This window comes from Homo sapiens, chromosome 9 (assembly GCF_000001405.40).
Source record: "Homo sapiens chromosome 9, GRCh38.p14 Primary Assembly".
In the NCBI taxonomy this organism is placed as follows: domain Eukaryota; kingdom Metazoa; phylum Chordata; class Mammalia; order Primates; family Hominidae; genus Homo; species Homo sapiens.
Window position 1 is genome coordinate 131,336,203 of NC_000009.12, and position 17,466 is coordinate 131,353,668.

General features: G+C 48.4%; 2 long non-coding RNA genes across 2 annotated transcripts in view, besides 1 other annotated feature; one reads left to right on the forward strand and one right to left on the reverse strand.

Moving 5' to 3' along the window:
* Positions 1-17,466, forward strand: part of LOC105376299 (uncharacterized) — a 34,154-nt gene that overhangs the window by 11,333 nt on the left and 5,355 nt on the right. Inside the window, exons 2-3 of the long non-coding RNA XR_001746959.3 lie at positions 10,587-11,554; positions 12,399-12,668. This is a non-coding gene — a long non-coding RNA (uncharacterized LOC105376299). The remainder of the gene's footprint in view (positions 1-10,586; positions 11,555-12,398; positions 12,669-17,466) is intronic.
* Positions 10,784-14,229, reverse strand: LOC105376300 (uncharacterized). The gene is made up of 4 exons (XR_930401.3): positions 13,969-14,229; positions 12,846-12,950; positions 11,030-11,107; positions 10,784-10,822 (listed from the first exon to the last, which is right to left on the reverse strand). It is a non-coding gene; the product is annotated as an uncharacterized LOC105376300 (long non-coding RNA).
* Positions 15,898-16,399: an enhancer, noted in NCBI's record as "H3K4me1 hESC enhancer chr9:134227487-134227988 (GRCh37/hg19 assembly coordinates)". NCBI's record gives its function as "activates a minimal SCP1, AML or CMV promoter by ChIP-STARR-seq in primed H9 embryonic stem cells {active_cell/tissue: H9 hESC(primed)}" and the evidence as "EXISTENCE:reporter gene assay evidence [ECO:0000049][PMID:30033119]".

Here is a 17,466-nt window from a genome sequence, read left to right on the forward strand (position 1 = left end):
TTTTTAGTAGAGACGGGGTTTCACCATGTTGGCCAGGCTGGTCCTCGATTTCTTAATGTGTAAAGTGGGGATGGTAATGGTACTTCATTTCTGGTTTTGCTATAAGGACCCAGTGAGGCAGCTGTCCTGAAGGGCGAGCCTTGGGAGCCCTGGCTGTCCAGGCTGGTCTCAATGGACCCGGCTGTCAGGGCCACTCTCGGCTGAGTTTCTGTCCTACAGCGCCCTCTAGTGGGAAAAGGTGGTCATTGCAGGGGCATCCAACTCAGGTGGCCAGGGAGCTTTCCTATCCCAAGTTGGAGTCCAAAATGTGCCCTTTCTGATCAAGTTAAATTCATGGCCCTTATTACATATGCACCAGCATGGTACGGCGAAGGAGGACAAAGAGAATGAGACCCATTCCCTTCCCTTTGGAGGCTCAAAGGGCAGCACTGCCTGGTTTGGGCATCAATGTGACAGTCAAGTCTGGGTCCTGGTCCTGCCCTCTCAGTGGCCTGCACAAGCCACACCCTCCCTGAGCTCCAGAGTCCTCCTCTGTAAACAGGATCACAAAACTTTCCGGTGGTAAGAGCTACGGAGAGGAACTAGGAAGAGCCAGCAGGAGGCTTGTGTTTGAGATGCGATGGCCAGGGAGCCCACCTTTGAGGAAATACCCGAAGCAGTGAGGGAGAGATCTTTGCAGAGACCTGGGAGGCCAGCGAAGGCCTGTGCCAGTTCAAGGAAGAGCGAGAGGTCAGTGGGGTCAGCGCGGAGCGATGGGGGCCGGAGGAGATGAGGGGAGAGGGGCTGTGTGTCACGATCAGTGCAGTAGGATGCGTAATGAAGGGCCCTGGCCCAGGTGGCCATGGAGGCCTCCCAGAGCAAGGAGTGTCCAAGCTGCGGGTGGCAGAGAGGGGTGGGAGAGCTCGGAAGACCTGATCCCAGTGCGGCCCCAACACTAACATCCTCTGTGGTCCAAGATCAGCCCACATCCCCTGAGCTCAGTTTCCTCATCTGCAACATGAGGGAGCTGGCCTAGCTACAGCCCCTCTTTCTCTAATCTGACACCTGCCGCTGGGGCCAGGGCTCCAGCCTGACTGCGTAATGCACAGGGACCCCCAGCTAGCTCAGGGTAGGCGGCGTTCGTGAAAGGTCCTCACACCCTCCAGTCCAGGCTTTTGCAACCCCTGGGCCTCAGCTGGATGTGTGAGTGGAGTAGGGGCAGCATCAGATCTTTTGACCTGAGGAAGGCCAGCAGCAAATGCCCCAGGATCTGAGAGCTTGCTGTGCTCGCTGCTACCAAGTTGTCTTTGCTTACAGGCTGTTAAGGGGTGAATTGTGCGTCCCCAAAAAAATATGCTGATGTTCTAACCTCCAGTCCCTCAGAATGTGACCTCATGTGGTCTTTACCGAGGTAACCGGGTTAAGATGCGGTCATCGGGGGGTGAGACCCTAATCCAATATGACCGGTGTCCTTATAAAAAGGGGAAATGTGGCCCGGTGCAGTGGCTCACGCCTGTAATCCCAACACTTTAGGAGGCTGAAGTGGGAGGAGCCCAGGAGTTTGAGATCAGCCTGAGCAACATAGGAAGACTCTGTCTCAATAACAACATAAAACTAGCCGGGTGTGGTGGCACCACATGCCATGGTCCCAGACACTCCGAAGGCTGAGGCAGGAGGATCACTTCAGCCCAGAAGTTTGAGGCTGCAGTGAGCTAGGATCACACCACTGCACTCCAGCCTGGGCCACAGAGTAAGACTCCATCTCAAAAATATGAAATTAAAATCAAAAGGAGGGGGGCAGGCGTATTGGCTCATGCCTGTAATCCCAGCACTTTGGGAGGCCAAGGCAAGTGGATCACTTGAGGTCAGGAGTTCGAGACCAGCCTGGCCAACATGGTGAAATCTCGTCTCTACTAAAAATATAAAAATTCGCCAGGCATGGTGGTGCATGCCTATAATCCCAGCTACTTGGGAAGCTGAGGCAGAAGAATCACTTGAACCTGGGAGGCAGAGGTTGCAGTGAGCCAAGATCATGCCCCTGCACTCTAGCTTGGGCAACAGAGCAAGACTCTGTCTCAAAATAAATAAATAAATAAAAAATAGAAAGGAGAAATGGCCACACAGAGAAGACATGCAGAAGGAAAGAGGGAAAGCAACATTAACACGCAGAGAGAAGGCCGGGCGCAGTGGCTCACGCCTGTAATCCCAGCACTTTGGGAGGCTGAGATGGGTGGATCACCTGAGCCCAGGAGTTCGAGCCCAGCCTGGACAACATGGTGAAACTCCATCTCTACTAAATACAAAAATTAGCCAGGCATGGTGGTGAATGCCTGTAATCCCAGCTACTTGGGAGGCTGAGGCAGGAGAATTGCTTGAACCTGGGAGGCGGAGGTTACAGTGAGCTGTGATTGCACAACTGCACTCCAGCCTGGGTGACAGAGCTCTGTCTCAAAAAAAAAAAAAAAGACACAGGGAGAAGACAGGCTGTGAAGAGGGAGGACAGGAGTGACTCCGCCACACTCCAAGGAACACTGGAGGCTGCTGGAGGCTGGAGAGAGGCCTGGGCAGAAGGATTCCCAGCACCTTCAGACGCAGCGTGGCCGAGGCTGCAGAGAGGCCTGGGAGGGAGGATTCCCAGCACCTTCAGACACAGCGTGGCCCTTTCCACCCCCTCACTTTGGACCTCAAGCCTCCAGAAATTTGGGGCAGAACATTTCTGTGTTCTAAGCCACCAGTTTGTGACATTTTGTTACCGTAGCCCTGAGAAACTACGCCACAGCTCTTCCAGTGTGCCAAAGACAGGAAGGCTACCCCCAAATTCATAAGTTCATGTTGATATTTCTTTCTTTTTTTAACACTTTATTTATTTATTTATTTTTATTTTATTTTTTAAATTATACTTTAAGTTCTAGGGTACACGTGCACAACATGCAGGTTTGTTACATGTGTATGCATGTGGCATGTTGGTTTGCTGCACCCATTAACTCATCATTTACATTAGGTATTTCTCCTAATGCTATCTCTCCCCCCTCCCCCCACCCCACAACAGGCCCCAGTGTGTGATGTTTCCCATCCTGCGTCCAAGTGTTCTCATTGTTCACTTCCCACCTGTGAGTGAGAACATGCAGTGTTTGGTTTTCTGTCCTTGCGATAGTTTGCTCAGAATGATGGTTTCCAGCTTCATCCATGTCCCTGCAAAGGACATGAACTCATCCTTTTTATGGCTGCATAGTATTCCATGATGTATACATGCCACATTTTCTTAATCCAGTCTATCACTGATGGACATTTGGGTTGGTTCCAAGTCTTGGCTATTGTGAATAGTGCCGCAATAAACATACGTGTGTATGTGTCTTTATATTAGCATGATTTATAATCCTTTGGGTGTATACCCAGTAATGGGATCGCTGGGTCAAATGGTATTTCTAGTTCTAGATCCTAGAGGAATCACCACACTGTCTTCCACAATGGTTGAACTAGTTTACACTCCCACCAACAGTGTAAAAGTGTTCCTATTTCTCCACATCCTCTCCAGCACCTGTTGTTTCCTGACTTTTTAATGATCACCATTCTAACTGGTGTGAGATGGTATCTCACTGTGGTTTTGATTTGCATTTCTCTGATGGCCAGTGATGATGAGCATCTTTTCATGTGTCTGTTGGCTGCATAAATGTCTTCTTTTGAGAAGTGGTTGTTCATATCCTTTGCCCACTTTTTGATGCGGTTGTTTGATTTTTTTTCTTGTAAATTTGTTTCTTTGTAGATTCTGGATATTAGCCCTTTGTCTGATGGGTAGATTGCAAAAATTTTCTCCCATTCTGTAGGTTCACTCTGATAGTAATTTCTTTTGCTGTGCAGAAGCTGTTTAGTTTAATTAGATCCCATTTGTCTATTTTGGCTTTTGTTGCCATTGCTTTTGGTGTTTTAGTCATGAAGTCCTTGCCCATGCCTATGTCCTGAATGGTATTGCCTAGGTTTTCTTCTAGGGTTTTTATGGTTTTAGGTCTAACATTTAAGTCTTTAATCCTTCTTGAATTAATTTTTGTATAAGGCATAAGGAAGGGATCCAGTTTCAGCTTTCTACATATGGCTAGACAGTTTTCCCAGCACCATTTATTAAATAGGGAATCCTTTCCCCATTTCTTGTTTTTGTCAGGTTTGTCAAAGATCAGATGGTTGTAGATGTGTGGTATTATTTCTGAGGGCTCTGTTCTGTTCCATTGGTCTATATCTCTGTTTTGGTACCAGTATCATGCTGTTTTGGTTACTGTAGCCTTGTAGTATGGTTCAAAGTCAGGTAGCATGATACCTTCAGCTTTGTTCTTTTTGCTTAGGATTGACTTGGCGATGCGGGCTCTTTTCTGGTTCCATATGAACTTTAAAGTAGTTGTTTCCAATTCTGTGAAGAAAGTCATTGGTAGCTTGACAGGGATGGCATTAAATCTATAAATTACCTTGGGCAGTATGGCCGTTTTCACCATATTGATTCTTCCTATCCATGAGCATGGAATGTTCTTCCATTTGTTTGTGTCCTCTTTTATTTCGTTGAGCAGTGGTTTGTAGTTCTCCTTGAAGAGGTCCTTCATATCCCTTATAAATTGGATTCCTAGGTATTTTATTCTCTTTGAAGCAATTGTGAATGGGAGTTCACTCATGATTTGGCTCTTGTTTGTCTGTTATTAGTGTACCGGAATGCTTGTGATTTTTGCACATTGATTTTGTATCCTGAGACTTTGCTGAAGTTGCTTATCAGCTTAAGGAGATTTTGGGCTGAGATGATGGGGTTTTCTAAATATACAATCAAGTCATCTGCAAAGAGGGAAAATTTGACTTCCTCTTTTCCTAACTGAATACCCTTTATTTCTTTCTCCTGCCTGATTGTCCTGGCCAGAACTTCCAACACTATGTTGAATAGGAGTGGTGAGAGAGGGCATCCCTGTCTTGTGCCAGTTTTCAAAGGGAATGCTTCCAGTTTTTGCCCATTCAGTATGATATTGGCTGTGGATTTGTCATAAATAGCTCTTATTATTTTTAGATACATCCCATCAATACCTAGTTTATTGAGAGTTTTTAGCATGAAAGGCTGTTGAATTTGTTGAAGGACTTTTCTGCATCTATTGAGATAATCATGTGGTTTTTGTCTTTGGTTCTGTTTATGTGATGGGTTACGTTTATTGATTTGTGTATGTTGAACCTGCCTTGCATCCTGGGGTGAAGCCAACTTGATCGTGGTGGATAAGCTTTTTGATGTGCTGCTGGATTTGGTTTGGCATATTTTATTGAGGATTTTCGCATCGATGTTCATCAGGGATATTGGTCTAAAATTCTCTTTTTTTGTTGTTTCTCTGCCAGGCTTTGGTATCAGGAGATGCTGGCCTCCTAAAATTAGTTAGGGAGGATTCCCTCTTTTTCTATTGATTGGAATAGTTTCAGAAGGAATGGTGCCAGCTCCTCTTTGTACCTCTGGTAGAATTTGGCTATGAATCCATCTGGTCCTGGACTTTTTTTGGTTGGTAGGCTATTAACCATTGCGTCAATTTCAGAGCCCGTTATTGGTCTATTCAGGGATTCAACTTCTCCTGGTTTAATCTTGGGAGGGTGTATGTGTCCAGGAATTTATCCATTTCTTCTAGATTTTCTAATTTATTTGCATAGAGGTGTTTTTAGCATTCTCTGATGGTAGTTTGTATTTCTGTGAGATCGGTGGTGATATCCCCTTTATCATTTTTTATTGTGTCTATTTGATTCTTCTCTCTTTTCTTCTTTTCTTTTCTTTTTTTTTTTTTTTTTTTTTTGAGACGGAGTCTCACACTGTCGCCCAGGCTGGAGTGCAGTGGTGCAATCTCAGCTCACTGCAAGCTCCGCCTCACGGGTTCACGCCGTTCTCCTGCCTCAGCCTCCTGAGTAGCTGGGACTACAGGCGTCCACCACCACGCCTGGCTAATTTTTTTTTTTTTTTGTATTTTTAGTAGAGACGGGGTTTCACTGTGTTAGCCAGGATAGTCTCGATCTCCTGACCTCGTGATCCGCCCGCCTCGGCCTCCCAAAGTGCTGGGATTACAGGCGTGAGCCACCGTGCCCGGCCTCTTTTCTTCTTTATTAGTCTTGCTAACGGTCTATCTATTTTGTTGATCTTTTCAAAAAACCAGCTCCTAGATTCATTTATTTTTTGAAGGGTTTTTATGTCTCTATCTCCTTCAGTTCTGCTCTGATCTTAGTTATTTCTTGCCTTCTGCTAGCTTTTGAATTTGTTTGCTCTTGCTTCTCTAGTTCTTTTAATTGTGATGTTAGGGTGTCAATTTTAGATTTTTCCTGCTTTCTCTTGTGGGCATTTAGTGCTATAAATTTCCCTCTATACACTGCTTTAAATGTGTCCCAGAGATTCTGGTACATTGTGTCTTTGTTCTCATTGGTTTCAAAGAACATCTTTATTTCTGCCTTCATTTCATTATTTACCCAGTAGTCATTCAGGAGCAGATTGTTCAGTTTCCATGTAGTTGTGCAGTTTTGAGTGAGTTTCTTAATCCTGAGTTCTAATTTGATTGCACGTGGTCTGAGAGACAGTTTGTTACGATTTCTGTTCTTTTACATTTGCTGAGGAGTGCTTTACTTCCAACTATGTGGTCAATTTTGGAATAAGTGCAATGTGGTGCTGAGAAGAATGTATATTCTGTTGATTTGGGGTGGAGAGTTCTGTAGATGTCTATTAGGTCCACTTGGTGCAGAGCTGAGTTCAGTTCCTGGATATCTTTGTTAACCTTCTGTCTTGTTGATCTGTCTAATGCTGACGGTGGGGTGTTAAAGTCTCCCATTATTATTGTGTGGGAATCTAAGTCTCTTTGTAGGTCTCTAAGGACTTGCTTTATGAATCTGGGTGCTCCTGTATTGGGTGCATATATATTTAGGATAGTTAGCTCTTCTTGTTGAATTGATCCCTTTACCATTATGTAATGGCCTTCTGTGTCTCTTTTGATTTCTGTTGGTTTAAAGTCTGTTTTATCAGAGACTAGGATTGCAACCCCTGCTTTTTTTGTTTTCCATTTGCTTGGTAGATCTTCCTCCATCCCTTTATTTTGAGCTTATGTGTGTCTTTGCATATGAGATGGGTCTCCTGAATACAGCACACTGATCGGTCTTGACTCTTTATCCAATTTGCCAGTCTGTGTCTTTTAATTGGGGCATTTAGCCCATTTACATTTAAGGTTAATATTGCTATGTGTGAATGTGATCCTGTCATTATGATGTTAGCTGGTTATTTTACCCGTTAGTTGATGTAGTTTCTTCCTAGCATTGAGGGTCTTTGCAATTTGGCATGTTTTTGCAGTGGCCGGTACCGGTTGTTCCTTTCCATGTTTAGTGCTTTCTTCAGGAGCTCTTGTAAGGCAGGCCTGGTGGTAACAAAATCTTTCAGCCTTTGCTTGTCTGTAAAGGATTTTATTTCTCCTTCACTTATGAAGCTTAGTTTGGCTGAATATGAAATTCTGGGTTGAAAATTCTTTTCTTTAAGAATGTTGAATATTGGCCCCCACTCTCTTCTGGCTTGTAGAGTTTCTGCTGAGAGATCTGCTGTTAGTCTGATGGGCTTCCCTTTGTGGGTAACCCAACCTTTCTCTCTGGCTGCCCTTAATATTTTTTCCTTCAGTTCAACCTTGGTGAATCTGACAGTTATGTGTCTTGGGGTTGTTCCTCTTGAGGAGTATCTTTGTGGTGTTCTCTGTATTTCCTGAATTTGAATGTTGGCCTGCCTTGCTAGATTGGGGAAGTTCTCCTGGATAATATCCTGAAGAGTGTTTTCCAGCTTGGTTCCATTCTCCCCGTCACTCTCAGGTACACCAATCAAAGGTAGATTTGGGCTTTTCACCTGGTCCCATATTTCTTGGAGGCTTTGTTCTTTTTTCTCTAAACTTCTCTTCTCGCTTCATTTCATTCATGTGATCTTCAATCACTGATACCCTTTCTTGCACTTGATCAAATCGGCTACTGAAGCTTGTGCATGCGTCACGTAGTTCTCGTGCCATGGTTTTCAGCTCCATCAGGTCATTTAAGGTCTTCTCTATGCTGTTTATTCTAGATAGCCATTCATCTAATCCTTTTTCAAGGTTTTTAGCTTCTTTGCAATGGGTTCAAACCTCCTCCTTTAGCTCAGAGAAGTTTGTCATTACCGACCTTCTGAAGCCTACTTCTGTCAACTTGTCAAAGTCATTCCCTGTCCAGCTTTGTTCCATTGCTGGCGAGGAGCTGCGATCCTTTGGAGGAGAAGAGGCACTCTGGTTTTTAGAATTTGCAGCTTTTCTGCTCTGGTTTCTCCCCATCTTTGTGGTTTTATCTACCTTTGGTCTTTGATGTTGGTGACCTACAGATGGGGTTTTGGTGTGGATGTCCTTTTTGTTGATATTGATGCTATTCCTTTCTGTTTGTTAGTTTTCCTTCTAACAGTCAGGACCCTCAGCTGAAGGTCTGTTGGAGTTTGCTGGAGGTCCACTCCAGACCCTGTTTGCCTGGGTATCACCAGCAGAGGCTGCAGAAAAGCAAATATTGCAGAACAGCAAATGTTGCTGCCTGATCCTTCCTCTGAAAACTTCGTCTCAGAGGGGCACCCGGCTGTACGAGGTGTCAGTCGGCCCCTACTGGGAGGTGTCTCACAGTTAGGCTAGTCAAGGGTCAGGGACCCACTTGAGGAGGCAGTCTGTCCATTCTCAGAGCTCCAACTCCATGCCGGGAGAACCACTGCTTGCTTCAAAGCTGTCAGACAGGGCCATTTAAGTCTGCAGAAGTTTCTGCTGCCTTTTGTTCAGCTATGCCCTGTCCCCAGAGGTGGAGTCTACAGAGGCAGACAGGCCTTGTTGAGCTGCAGTGGGCTCTACCCAGTTCGAGCTTCCAGGCCACTTTGTTTACCTAGTCAAGCCTCAGCAATGGCAGACGCCCCTCCTGCAGCCTGGCTGCCGCCTCACGGTTTGATCTCAGACTGCTACACTAGCAGTGAGCAAGGCTCCATGGGCATGGGACCTGCTGAGCCAGGCGCAGGATATAATCTCCTAGTGTGCTGTTTGCTAAGACCATTAGAAAAGTGCAGTATTAGGGCGGGAGTGTCCCAATTTTCCAGGTACCATCTGTCACTGTTTCCCTTGGCTAGGAAAGGGAAATCCCCTGACCCCTTGCACTTCCTGGGTGAGGCGATGCCCCGCCCTGCTTCAGCTCACACTCCATGGGCTGCACCCACTGTCCAACCAGTCCCAATGAGATGAACCTGGTACCTCAGTTGGAAATGCAGAAATCACCCGTCTTCTGCGTCAATCATGCTGGGAGCTGTAGACTGGAGTTGTTCATATTCGGCCATCTTGGAATGATCCTTTTTTTTTTTTCTTTTTTGAGACACAGTCTTGCTCTGTCACCAGGCTGGAGTGCAATGGCAGGATCTCACTGCAACCTCCGACTCCCTGGTTCAAGCAATTCTCCTGCCTTAGCCTCCCAAGTAGCTGGGATTATAGGCATGTGCCACCACGCCAGGCTAATTTTTGTATTTTTATTAGAGACAGGGTTTCACCATGTTGGCCAGGATGGTCTCAATCTCCTGACCTCATGATCCGCCCGCCTTGGCCTCCCAAAGTGCTGGGATAACAGGCTTGAGCCACTGCACCCGGCCATGTTGATATTTCTAATTAAAATTCAAAACTCACAGTTGTTTCTTTCGTATTTGCATCCCTTTTCTCCTACATATTTATTTCCATTGTCCTACAATACACATTAAATAGTTTCAAGATTAATTTTGGGTTTTCTTAGAGACAGGGTCTCATTCAGTCACCCAGGCTGGAGTGTAGTGGTGAGATCTTGGCTCACTGCAGCCTCGACCTCCTGGGCTCAGGTGATCCTCCTGCCTCAGCCTCCCAACTAGCTGGGACCACAGGTGCACACCACCCTGGCCAGCTAATATTTTAATTTTTTGTAGAGATGGGATCTCGCTATGTTGCCAGGGCTGGTCAATTCCTGGGCTCAAGCAATCTTCCCTCCTTGGCCTCCCAAAGTGCTGGGATTACAGGCATGAGCCACTGTGCCCAACCTCGAAATTAACTTTAAAGAAGCAAAATCCCAGGGCCGGGCACAGTGGCTCACGCCTAGAATCCCAGCACTTTGGGAGGCCAAGGTGGGCAGATCATCTGAGGTCAGGAGTGCGAGACCAGCCTGACCAACATGGAGAAATCCCGTCTCTACTAAAAATACAAAATTAGCCAGGCTTGGTGACACATGCCTGTAATCCCAGCCACCTGGGAGGCTGAGGCAGGAGAATCGCTTGAATCCAGGAGAAGGAGGTTACAGTGAGCCAAGATCGCACCATTGCACTCCAGCCTGGGCAACAAGAGTGAAACTCTGTCTCAAAAAAATAAAAAATAAAAAGCAAAATCCCAACCAATCTAAGGGTTTTTATATTTATTCTTCCCCCATATTTGTACAATGCTCAAACCTGTCTTGACTCAAGTCTCAGCTCAAATGTCACCCCTCCGGGAGGCCTGAGCACCTGCTACTACCCTGACCACTGCGCCCATCACATTCCCAACATTGCCCAATATGGTGTCTCTATTTAAGTCTCTGTTTACTGTTTCCCCTTCCAGAATGTCAGCGTGGTACAGGCAGTGGTTGCTGTCCATTTCTTCTCTGCTGTGTCCCCAGTGCCCAGAACAGTACCTGGGACATAGCTGGCATTCAGTAAATATTTATAAAATGGATGGATGGAACTGGGCACGGTAGCTCGCATCTGTAATCCCAGCACTTCGGGAGGCCAAGGCAGGCGGATCACTTGAGGTCCGGAGTTCGAGAGCAGCCTGATGAACATGGTGAAACCCCATCTCTAATGAAAATACAAAAATTAACCAGGTGTGGTGGTGCACGCCTGTAATCCCAGCTACTCAGGAGGCTGAGGCAGGAGAATCACTTGAACCCAGGAGGCAGAATTTGCAGTGAGCCGAGATTATGCCATTGCACTCCAGCCTGGGTGACAGAGCAAGACTCTGTCTCAAAACAAAAAAAGAGTGGATGGATGGATGGATGAACTCACCTGCTGGTTGTCTCTGCTGAGCTAACTTCACACATATGCCAGCCTCGTTTCTAGAACATTCCATAGGCTATGAGGTACCTGTTGGAAATAAATGCAGATGTAGGTGGTCACCCTCACAGCACATTGGGGCCACAGCTTGGAAGTCCCCTGGCCACTGTGTCACCTCGGACCTAGGATGCCTTTCCATTGAGACATTCAGATGGCCTTAGTGCCACAGAGGGACGAGGTCCGTGGACATTCTGGTCTCCAGCTTTCCAGGAAACGGGAGGCTCCTGGCAGCGCCCTGGCTGCCAAGACAAGGCTCCTCCAAGCCTGGCTGACTCAGCATATTCTCCAGGCTTCTGCTGAGACACCCCTTCCCGGTGATGGCCCCTCTGGAGTCCCTGTCATGGGAACTTGTGTGTGGGATGCTTCCTTCTCTTTCACGGCATTGTCTGTGCGGGTTCTGCCTGAGCACATGAAGTGCGTTCACTGTGCCCAGCATGGTGCCTGGTACACACAGGGCTCAACGCGCTCCATTTGAAGGTGAGTGAAGGAGGCAGCGTGTCCACTAAAGACGCTCCCTCTATGTGCCTCTGCCTTGAGAGTGGGCGTGGGGGGAGGCGTGGCAGACCGGAGGCAGAGCTTCCTGGGCGCCAAGGCAAAGGGAGGAAACAAAAGCCATGTCTGGCTAAAGGCCAGACTCAAACCATGGGGGCAGCGGCAGGGAGTCTTCAGTGATGTGGAAAGATGGGTTCTGCTGCTCATCTCAGAGGAGAGGACAAGAAACCCAGACATGCTAGGCCGTGTGCGGTGGCTCACGCCTGTAATCCCAGCACTTTGGGAGGCCAAGGCAGGCGGATCATGAGGTCAGGAGATCGAGATCATCCTGGCTAACATGGTGAAACCCCGTCTCTACTAAAAATACAAAAATAAAATTAGCTGGGTGTGGTGGTGGATGCCTATAGTCCCAGCTACTCGGGAGGCTGAGGTGGGAGAATGGCGTGAACCCGGGAGGCGGAGCTTGCAGTGGTGCAGAGATCATGCCACTGCACTCCAGCCTGGGCGACAGAGCATGACTCCGTCTCAAAAAAAAATACAAAAATTTAGCCGGGCATGGTGGTGTGCACCTGTAGTCCCAGCTACTTGGGAGGCTGAGGCGGGAGAATTGATTGAACCTGGGAGGTGGAGGTTGCAGTGAGCCGAGATCGCGCCATTGCACTCCAGCCTGGGCAACAGGGTGAGACTCCATCTCAAAAAAAAAAAAAGAAAGAAAGAAACCCAGACATGCCTGTTCCAGAAGCAAAGGGAAGAGTGGAGTCCAGGCTCTAGAACGTCCAGCCTCTGCCATTCCCCTCCCACCCTCACTGTCTGCCCGTGACCTTTCCAGGCTGTCTGGAGCCCCCTACACTGGGCCCAGGTGGATCTTATCAATTCACTCAACAAATATTTGCTGAACTCCCATCTGGGCTGGCTCTGCCTGTGAGGCTAGGAACGTCAAAAGGAACCCAGGCAGCCAACCCTCCAGGACCTTGGGGTGGTGTGAAGGCCCCAGATTTCTGAAAGTGGAACAAAGCCAGACCCTGTGGCCGCCACCTTCTGGCCAACCTCAGATGGAGCCTTCCAGACACATCAACTCCCAGGGCTGTGGAAAGAAAAGGTGCGTTTTCTGGAGACTTACAGAGGGGTGGGGTGGGGGGCGCTGCGGGCCAAACAGCCATACTCGGTGTCCTCTCCCCCACAGCCCTTGCTCTCCCTTCCCCTCTCTCAACCCTCCCAAACCCCTCACACCTGCCCCTCTGCCTCCCTCATCCCCCAACCCTCTTGGCCTCTTCACCTGCTCCTGAACAGCACAGCAAGCTCCAGGGAGGCTGGGCGGCAGCAGGCTCCCTGGAAAATGGGAGGGGGCTGGGCACACTGGTTCATGTCTGTAATCCCAGAGCTTTTGGAGGCCGAGAAGGGAGGAGTGTTTGAGCCCAGGAGATGGAGGCCAGCCTGGGCAACATAGGGAGACCCCGCCACCCCCATCTCTACAAAAAATTTAAAAATAACCCAGGCGTGGTGGTGCACACCTGTAGCCCCAGCTACTTAGGAGGCTGAGGTGGGAGGATCACTTGAGGCCTGGGAGTTTGAGGCTGCAGTGAGCCAAAATTGCACCACTGCACTCCAGCCTGGGCAACAGAGCAAGACCCTGTCTCACATACACACAACAAAAAAGTGACTAGTGTGATAGAGGAAGTGAGTCCTCAATTTTAGTTGTTATTAATTAGAATTAATTAGCTAGCAGCTTCTGGATGGGACAGTGCAGCTCTAGAGGCTTCATCAGACTCAGGTTTACTTTCTGGGTGAGACAACCCCATGGGCGGGGTGTGCTGCATTCAGGTAGGAAGCCTGAGCCCTGAGCCCAAGCCCAGGCTCGAGGGCTGAGTGAAGGTCTACATCCCTGAGGATGTGTGGCCTTTCTGGCGCCACCTGCTCCTCCTGGAGTCTGAGGCTTTCTGCTCTTCCAGCCTGGGGGTGCCAGGCTGCTAGGGGTGGCACCTTTCCCTCCCCAGGAAAAGATGCAAAATCCCCTGATGGCACAGGCAGCCCCTCCCCAGAATGGACGGGATGGAAAGGGGACAAGTGGCAATGGCCCCAAACCAGGACCTCAGCTCATGGGTTCCCGGGTCCCTGGGGAAAGGGCTGAGGTCCTTCCTGCACTCAGCAAACAGGAACTGCGCGCTGAGCACCCAGCTGGAAATCAGCCATGGACAGGACAGACCTCTTCCCTCCCCCAACAAGCTCACGGTCTAGCCGAGGAGACTCATGTTGAAACATATAAATGGCCACTTCGCCAGGTCATAGCCATGGTAGTGGGGCTCGGAAGGAGAAGCCCATGGCGTTATGAGGGCGTGTGGAGCGGCGGTCGCCAAGGAGGGCTTCCCTGGGGGAGTGACAGTGAAGCAGAGCCCCCAGACCTGAGCGGGACTTGACCAGAAAGGAGGGAGGAAGAGTGTGGCCGGCAGAGGGAGCTGCGAGTGCAAGGCTGACAGGCAGGAAGGCCCGGGCGCTTGCAGGGAGATGCAAGTCTGAGGACGATGGCCCGGCTACGGCTGTTCCGCTGGGGCTGTTCCTGCTCTCCTTCCGCCCTGGGGGAGATGTTCCAATTCTACCCGGCGCTCCCCAGTCCGTGGACTCAGTCTTTCCTTGTGGGCTCCATTTCCCAGCTTCTAATCTCTCTGCGGCTCAACCCCTCTTCCCCTCTGTGTAGCCATGAGGCCCGGAGCCACCCCAAGAGCAGCCTTGGAGGCCTGATTGAGACAGCATCACCCCATCCCTGAGCCCAGAGCATGGAGAAAGCTTAGGTCACGGTGGAGCCTTTCTTGTTTTTTGTTTGCTTGTTGTTTGTTTGTTTGTTTGTTTGTGACGGAGTCTCGCTCTGTCGCCCAGGCTGGAGTGCAGTGGCGCGATCTCGGCTCACTGCAAGCTCCTCCTCCCGGGTTCACGCCTTTCTCCCGCCTCAGCCTCCCGAGTAGCTGGGACTACAGGCGCCCACTACCACGCCCACGCCCGGCTAATTTTTTTTTTTTTTGCATTTTTAGTAGAGACGGGGTTTCACCCTATTAGCCAGGATGGTCTCGATTTCCTGACCTCGTGATCCGCCCGCCTCGGCCTCCCAAAGTGCTGGGATTACGGGCGTGAGCCACTGCGCCCGGCCACGGTGGAGCCTTTCATGGAAAGGCCCGGGAAACAAACTATGACTCAGGCCAGGGACAGGGCTGGTCCTTATCGACTGCTTCACCCCCAGCCTGAAAGAGTGTGGTCAGAGGCTGGCACCACTGTGGCTGGGGACGTCCTGATTTCTCCCCTGCAGAATGTGGTTATTCTGGCGCTGGGGTGGCCCTGAAGCTTAGCTATGAGGGAAGCCTGTTCTTAGATACCCCAGCCTTGGGAGAGAAGAGCTGTGTACTGCCGCTGATAATGAACAGTGGCTGGCCGGGCATGGTGGCTCAGGCCTGTAATCCCAGCACTTTAGGAGGCCCAGGAGGAGTTTGGAAAACTGCTTGACCCCAGGAGTTGGAGGCTGCAGTGAGCCATGATCGTGCAACTGCACTCCAGCCTGGTCCACAGAGCAAGATCCTGCCTCAAAAAAAAAAAAAAAATTCTTTCTTGGCCGGGCATGGTGGCTCATGCTTGTAATCCCAGGACTTTGGAAGGCTAAGATTAGAGGATTCCTTTGAGACCAGCCTGGGCAACATAATAAGACCCTGTCTGTATGTGAAAAATTTTAAAAACTTAAAAAAAAAAAAGTCTTTCTTCAATAATAAATTAACCCTTAATGTAACTTTTAAAATTTTTACTTTATAAACTTTTTTGAACTTTTTCACTCTTACAATAATGCTTAGTTTATAATGCAAATATATTGCATAGCTGTACAAAAATATTTTCTTTATATCCTTATTCTATAATCTTTTTTCTATTTTTAAAATTTCTTATTTTTTATTTTTTTACTTTTATTTTTTATTTTTATTTATTTATTTATTTTGAGACGGAGTCTCGCTCTGTCACCAGGCTGGAGTGCAGTGGCGTGATCTTGGCTCACTGCAACCTCCAACTCCCAGGTCCAAGTGATTCTCCTGCCTCAGCCTCCTGAGTAGTTGGAATTACAGGCACGCGCCATCACACCCGCCTAATTTTTGTATTTTTATTAGAGACGGGGTTTCACCATGTTGGCCAGGATGGTCTCAATCTCCTGACCTTGTGATCCAACCACCTCAACCTCCCAAAGTGCTGGGATTACAGGTGTGAGCCACCATACCTGGCCTATTTTTTTACTTTTAAAAGTTTTTTGTTAAAAACTGAGACACAAGCCAGGTGAGGTAAGATATGCCTGCAGTCCCACCTACGGGAGGCTGAGGCAAGGGGATGACCTGAACCCAGTCTGGGCAACACAGTGAGGCCCTGTCTCTTATTTAAACAAAACAAAACAAAGACATTAGCACACACATGAGCCTAGGCCTACACAGGGATAGAATCATCAGTATCACTGTTGTCCACCTCCACATCTTGACCACCTAGAAGGTTTTCAGGGGCAATAACATGCATGAAGCTGAGATATGTGATAATAATGCCAGTGGGCTTGGTGGCTCATGCCTGTAATCCCAGCCCTTTGGGAGGCTAAGGTGGGCAGATCACTTGAGCCCAGGAGTTCAACACCAGCCTGGGCAACATGGCAAGACCCCGTCTCTACCAAAAAATACAAAAAGTTAGCCAGGTGTGGGGGCTTGCACCTGTAGTCCCAGCTACTTGGGAGGCTGAGGTGGGAGGATCGCCTGAGAGTAGGAGGCGGAGGTTGCGGTGAGCTGAGATGGCACCACTGCACTCCTGGGTGACACAGCAAGACTCTGTCTCAAAAAAAAAAAACAAGGCTGGGTGTGGTGGCTCTCGCCTGTAATCCCAGCACTTTGGGAAGCTGAGGTGGGTGGATCACCTGAGGTCAGGAGTACAAGACCAGCCTGGCCAACATGGAGAAATCCCATCTCTACTAAAAAAGTACAAAAATTAGCTGGGCATGGTGTTGTATGCCTGTAATCCCAGCTACTCGGGAGGCTGAGGCAAGAGAATTGCTTGAACCCAGGAGGCGGAGGTTGCAGTGAGCTGAGATTACACCGCTGCACTCCAGCCTGGGCAATAGAGCCACACTCTGTCTCAAAAAGAAATAATAAAAAATACTAGGTTCAATACATAATCATATGCTCCTGCTGTTCTTTTACACCAGCATCACCACAAACACATGAGTAACACATTGTCGTAGACATTGTGACAGCTACGATAGACTGGGCGATAGGAATTTTTCAGCTCCATTATAATCGCATGGGACGACAGTCATACGTGCGGCCCATCATTAACCAAAACATTGTGGTGTGGGACTGTACCACATCGTGCTTGTCCATTCCTCTGCTGAGGGATGTTTCAATTGTTCCCACCTTTTGGCTGTTGTGAATAACCTCGCTATGAATGTTGGCGTACGAGTTCCTGTTTGAGTCCCTGCTTTCAATCCTGTGGGCATAGACCTAGGAATGGAATTGCCGTGTCATATGGTAACTCTGTGTTGAACTTTCTGAGGAATAGCCAAACCGATTTCCAAAGTAGAGACACCATTTTCGTTCCCACCAGCCATTTCTCCACATTCTTGCCAACACTTGTTACTTCCCATTTTTTTAATTAGAGCCGGCTCTAATAAAAATTAGTGGGTATGAAGTTGTATTTCATAGTGGTTTTGCTTTGTTTGGGACAAGGTCTCATTCTGTCACCCAGGCTGGAGTGCAGTGGCCCGATCTCTGCTCATTGCAGCCTCAACCTCCCGGGCTCAAGTGATCCTCCTGTTTCAGCCCTCTTTGCTCATTTTAAAATTGAATTGTCACCTGTAATCCCTGCACTTTGGGAGACCAAGGCAGGCAGATCACTTGAGGCCA